The sequence below is a fragment of the Homo sapiens genome, chromosome 5 (assembly GCF_000001405.40).
Source record: "Homo sapiens chromosome 5, GRCh38.p14 Primary Assembly".
In the NCBI taxonomy this organism is placed as follows: domain Eukaryota; kingdom Metazoa; phylum Chordata; class Mammalia; order Primates; family Hominidae; genus Homo; species Homo sapiens.
In genome coordinates this window covers 42225993-42232625 of record NC_000005.10, presented here as the reverse complement: position 1 = coordinate 42232625, position 6633 = coordinate 42225993, and the positions used below count along the sequence as shown (strand labels likewise).

The 6633-nt window shown below is 42.8% G+C and overlaps 1 annotated feature.

Annotated features, from left to right (window-relative positions):
• Positions 2735-2904: an enhancer, noted in NCBI's record as "experimental_85146 CRE fragment used in MPRA reporter constructs". NCBI's record gives its function as "activates a minimal promoter by MPRAs in K562 erythroleukemia cells, with activity observed for the introgressed 5:42229909 variant allele {active_cell/tissue: K562}" and the evidence as "EXISTENCE:reporter gene assay evidence [ECO:0000049][PMID:34662402]".

The window sequence follows — 6633 nt, the reverse complement described above, 5'->3', positions numbered from 1 at the left end:
TTATAAAATTGAACCTGTTCATACTCTATGATCCAGTAATTACAGTCTTTGGTGTTTACAAAAAGAGTTAAAAATGTATGTCCACACAAAAACCTGCACACAAATGTTTATAGCAGTTTTATTGATAATTGCCAAAACTTGGGAGCAACCAAGACGGCCTTCAGTGGGTGAATGGAGGAATAAACTATGGAATATACAGAAAATGGAATAGTATTCAGAGGTAAGAAGAAATGAGCTATTAAGTCATAACAAGACATGGAGGAAGCTTAAATACATATTACTCTGTCAAAGAAGGCAATATGAATAGGCTGTATATTGTTTGATTCTAACTATATGATATTCTAGAAAATAAAAAACTGTGGAGATAGCGAAAAGATCAGTGATTGCCAGGAGTTTTGGGGAGAGATAAGTAGGCATAGAGCATAGAGAATTTTTAGAGCCATGAAACTGCTCTATATGATGCTACAATTGATATATGTCATAAATTTTTTCAAACTCATAGAATGTACAACAACAATGAACTCTAATGTAAACTATGGACTCTAGGTGATACTGATGTGTCAATGTAGGTTCATCAGTTGTAAAAAATGTACCACACTGGTGATGGATGGAGGAGGCTATGCAAGTGTGGAGGAAGGGAATATATTGGAAATCTCTGCACCTTTCACTCAACTTTGTTGTAAACGTAATACTTCTATACAAATAAATTCCACAAAATTGTAAACAGGGGTTGGGGCCAAGATGGTAGAAGCAGCTAGTGTGTGCTACTCTCATGGAAAGAAGAAAGTATAGTAAGTAAACATTAGCTCCTCAACTCAATCATCCAGGTGGACACACTGGGATTCATTAAGGAAGTAATGTGACCCATGGAGAACAGAGAGGAGCAAGACAGGACAGCTACTCACCCAGGATTCATGTAGATTGAGGGGTGGCTCCCTACCATGGGAAAATGATGCGTGAGTGAGAGCCCCTGAGAACCCACTCTTCTGCCATGGATCACAGCAACCCTGGGCTCAGGAGCTCCTGTGCAATCTTCACCTCACCAGGGCCTTCAGACTGACACAGAGAGATGCGTGGAGTCTGGGCAGAGCTGCTGCACAGGCATACATGGAGTCCTGGTGTCCTTGGATTCCACACCAACATCAGCTGCTGCAGCTCCAGCAATAGGGTAGGCCAGGTTTCCTCACATGCACCCAAGATAGGGGCTAAATGCACGGGGCAAGGGGAGAAGGTACTGCAGGGCCCGCCTCCACTATACTTTGCCGGGCAAGGCCCACTGGCTTGGGACCCTAAAATGGCTACCTCAGTTCCACCTGAGTTCTCCAGTCAGTAGCAGCACTGCGCTTCTCTGGGACAGAGCTTGCCATCTTTGTTGCTCCTTTGCTCCCACCCCTACTACTCTCAGGATTGGGAAGGAGCAAAGTGATTAAGGACTTAAAGCAGACCCCTGTCACAGTGCAGCTACCTTACAGAAAGTGGCCAGGCTGTTTTCCATGTGGGCCCATGTCCCTGATATTCCTCACTCAGCAGGGCTTTCTGACCGGGGATGCCAGCCACCCTACCCCCGCCTCAGATCTTGGCTGGTAGCAGCTCCGCACTTCTCTGAGAAGGGTTTCCTGTGGTAGCAGGCGAGTCAGCAATTTTTGCTGCTCTGCAGCAACCACCCCTACTGCCCTCAGCCTCAGGAAGGAGCAAAGTGATTAAGGATTAACAGGAGCCCCAAGCACACCACATTTGCCTTATGGAAAAGTGGCCAGTTTTCCATGCAGGTCCCTCCTCCTGTTACTCTTCACTGGGTGGGTCCCCCAGCACTCTGCCCCTCCCTGAACACTTCAGTCAGTGTTAGCTCTCCGTTTCTCTGGGGACAAAATCCCAGAGTCAACCCACAGTCCCTCTCCCATTGTATCTGCAGTGATACTGCATGTATTAGCCTCCAGCTAGGGAAGGAACAAAGGGCCTGGTTGCATTGCTGGCACCTGCAACACACTGAAGCCACCCTATGGAGTGGAGCTGAGTCCTCTCCATAAGCCCCGACCCCCTGCTCATCGCCAGGCAGTGCCTCTGGCTTGGGACCCCAGAACAACCCTCATCCCCAACTGAACATTCCCACGGGTAGTGGCTTTGTGTTTCCCTGGGATGAAACACAAGTTCCACAAGAGGAATTAATTGTATAGCCCTTTTCACCCTGGGCAGGATGGGCTACCTGTGGATTGAAGAGAGACGTTGCCAGGGACTATAAAGATGTCAGGGGATACATAGCCTATGGTACAAGTTCTAGTCCAGTTAGTGGGGAGGCACTGGTGAACTGGTTGGCCACAAATATAAAAGGATCCATGGGTTTTAAGATAAGTAAATTAATTGAGGACAAGATATGTTAATGGCAGCACAGGGAGGAATTTGCTTAGCCTTGGATGAAAAGTATTGCTTTTGGGTAAATCAATCAAGAAAAGTACAAGACAACATCAAACTCCTCTTAAATCATGCCTCCAGGTTATAGGAATGAGCCTCTCAAGGTTGGTTAGATTGGGAAGCAACCTGGAAATGGTTCTCCTGGGTTCTTCCCTTTTTAGGACCACTTGTTACTCTCTGACTTTTGCTCCTTTTTGATTCATGTCTTCTAAATCTAATAACCTGATGTGTCTCCTCTCACCTTCAGGCCATCAAGTTCTGGATGATCCTCAGTGAGGGATACCATCCTCTCAATATTGAAGAGGCACCCTTCTACAAGGGACCCCTAGACTGCCCATCAGTGTGACAGGAAGGAGGCAAAATCCTGCCCCTGACTCCCTTGAACCTGGTTAGATACTGCTTTTACCAACCCATAGAGTCAACCTCCTGCCCTGAGAGCTAGCAAGAGGCCAAGACCCACAGAACCACCACTGTTCCTCTGTCAGCAGGAAGCAGTTACAGAAGATTGACCTTCATCCATTTTTCCCCCAAAGATTTGGGGTCTTGGGCTCTTGAGGGGGGAATGTTACATGTAGACAGGCATGAGTGGGGCAGGAGAGGTCTCCCCACTAATCAGGAATGTCAGGCATCAGGTGATGTTTCAACAATGATCACGTTGCCTCTCTAAAAATGATAATTCAGCAGCTGGTGCCAGGGAGAGACAATCTCCTGTTGATCCACAGCTGTTAACATTAAAGTGTTAATTGAATGCAGGCGCATGGGAGAAGCAAAAATGACTTCCAAAAAAATCTCAGGTATTGGGCAAGTAAGCATTATGACAAAATGGTGGAGTATGACCTTCCAGGGGCACTCCACCAGAAAAGGGAAGAAAGCCTCAGATGGGCATGAATACAACTTACTAAACCCACTGCGTGTGCTGACTTCTCAAGGGCAAGGAGGCAACTGCACATGTGGGCAGCCCAGCCTAAGGGAAGAATCACCAGGAAAAGGTACAAGACGCCAGAGGTGGGCCAGCCTATAAAGTCCTAGGAACAGAGTCAAACGGGACACTTGTACTTTAAGTCACCCACTTGGATCTCTTCCGAGTACACTTTCTTGTCTCTCCTTCTCTAAAGCTTTTTAATAAACTTCCACTCCTGCTCTGAAACTTGCCTCAGTCTCTTTTTCTACTTTATGCCCCTCGTTTGAATTTTTTCTTCTGAGGAGGCAAGAATTGAGGTTGCTGCAGACCCACAGGGACTTGCTGCCAGTAACTGGGATACCTTCCACCACTAACAGTACTGCCCTTGTTGCCCTCAGACTAGGAAAGGAACAAGAAACCTGAAAATTTTACTCACACCACAGCTTCCCTAAAGAGAAGTGGACAGTCTGTCTTCCCCCTGAGCCCCCTTCCCCCATGCTCATCACTAGACAGGGTCCCCTAACTTGGGCCCACAACACAGCTGCCCCACCCCGGGCTGATCACCCCAATTGGTAGTGGCTCTGCATTTCTTTGGGTGGATCCCCAAGGGACAAGTGAAAGATCCTCTGCCATTGCCTCTGCAAAGGTCCCTACCCTAGCTGCTCTCAAGCTTGAGAGGGAACATAAAGCATGAGCTCACCTCAGGGCTGCGGTGTGCAGCCCAGGAGGGCTAAGCCAAGACCTGCAGCTAGCACTAGAGTTGCAGAGGAGCCCACACCCTCAGAACACTGAGAGAGAGAGAGAGCACAGCTGCATACATAAGGAAATATAGAGGATTTATGAGGCTGAGCAAGAGCCTACTGGCTGTTAAGCTTAAGTGCCACCTATTGGATCACAGGCCAAACATCAACACCAAAAATACTCTGCTAATATGTCCCCCACTGTGAAACCAAGGACAACAATTTTGCTACAAATAAAGACCCAACACAAAGCCTTAGCCCCTTGAAAACATCCAGAAAAGAAGCCAACTTGCTATACTGAAATAATACCACAGTTAAAGAAACACCAACCCACATGGATGAGGAAGAACAAGCACCAGAACTCTGGCAGCTCAAAAAGCCAGAGTGCATTCTTTCTTCCAAACAGCTGCACTAGTTCCCCAGCAATGGTTTCTAACCAGGCTGAAATGGCAGAAATAGAATAGAAACAGAATTTGGATAGGAATGAAGATCTTCAAGACTCAGGAGGAAGTCAAAATCCAATCCAAGAATCTAAGGATTACAGTAAAATAATACAGGAGTTGAAAGAGCATATGACCATTTTAAGAAATAACCTACTAAACTGATAGAGCTGAAAAACACACTACAGGAATTTCATAATACAATTACAAATATTAACAGCAGAATAGACCAAGTCAAGGAAAAAATATCAGAGCTCAAAGAGTGGTTCTCCAAACTAACTCAGTCAGACAAAAATAAAGAAAAAAGAATAAAAGACATTAACAAAAATCCCTGAGAAATATGGGATGATGAAAAAAGACCAAGTCTACCACTCATTGTTGTCCCTGAAAGAGAGGGGAGAAAACAAGCAACTTGCAAATCATATTTGAGGATATTGTCCATGAAAATTTTTGCAACCTTGCTAGAGAGACCAATGTTAAAATTTAGGAAATGCAGAGGACCCCTGTGAGATATTATACAAGATAACCATCCCCAAGACATATGGTCATCAGATTCTCTAAGGTTGAAATGAAAGAAAAAATATTAAAAGCAGCTAGAGAGAAGGGGCAGGTCACCTAAAAAGGGAACTCCATCAGGCCAAAAGCAGACCTTTCAGCAGAAACCTTACAAGCCAGAAGAGACTGGGGACCTATTAATATATTCAGCATTATTATAAAGAAAAGAAACTGTAACCAAGAATTTCATACCCAGACAAACTAAGCTTCATAAGCAAAGGAGAAATAAGAACCTTTTTAGGTAAGCAAATACTAAAGGAATTGGTTACCACCATACCTGCCTTATAAGAGGTCCTTAATGGAGTGCTAAATATGGAAACAAAAGACCATTACCAGCCACCAATAAAACATATTTAAATACACAGACCATTGGCATTATAAGGTAACTACGCCATCAAGTCAGCATGATAACTAGCTAACAACACAATGACAAGATCAAATCTACACATATCAATATTAATCTTGAATGTGAACAGGAGAAATGTCCATATTAAAAGGCACAGAGTGACAAGTTGGATTAAAAAAAAAAACAAAAACCCTACTCTATGCTTTCTTCAAGAGGCCCATTTCACATGCAATGACATCCATAGGCTCAAAATACAGGGATGGAGAAAAATCTATCAGACAAATGGAAAAAAAAAGAAAAAAAAGCAGAAGTTGCTATGCTAATTTCAGACAAAAGAGATTTTAAATTTTAAGCCAACAAAGATAAAAAAAAGACAAAAAGGGTATTACATAATGGTAGTGTTCAATTCAATAAGACTTAAATATTCAAAATATATATGCACCAAACTAGGAGCATAAAATAAGTTCATAAAATAATCCAGATTCATAAAATAAGTTCTTAGATACCTTCAAAGAGACTTAGATAACCATGCAATAATAGTGGGAGTATTTAACACCCCACTGACAATATAAAACAGATTATCAAAGCAGAAAACTAATGAAGATATTCGAGACCTGAACTCGACATTTGACCAAATGAAACTAACAGATATCTACAGAACTCCACACCCAAAAACAGCAGAATATACATTATTCTCATCTGCACATGGCACACACTTTAAAATCAACCGTATGATCAGCTATAAAAGAATTCTTGGGAAGAAAAAATCACACCAACCACATTTTCAGACCAATAAAATGTGCGATAAAAATAGAAATCAATACTAGGAAGATCACCCAAAACCATACAATTACATGGAAATTAAACAATGTGCTCTTCAATAACTTTTGGGTAAACAATGAAATTAAGGCAGAAGTCAAGATTTTTTTAAACTAATATAAACAAAGATACAATATACCAGAATCTCTGTGACACAGCTAAAGCAGTGTTAATAGGAAAGTTTACAATGCTAAATGCCCAAATCAAAAAGTCAGAAAGATCTCAAGTTAAGAACCTGACATCACAGCAAGAGGAACTAGAGAAAAAACAAACCAACCCCAGAGCTAGCAGAAGACAAGAAATAACCAAAATCAGAGCCAAACTGAAGGAAATCAAGATGTGAAACAACATACAAAAGATTAACAAAATCAGAAATTGATTATTTGAAAGAACAAATAAGATAGATGGCTTGCTAGATACACT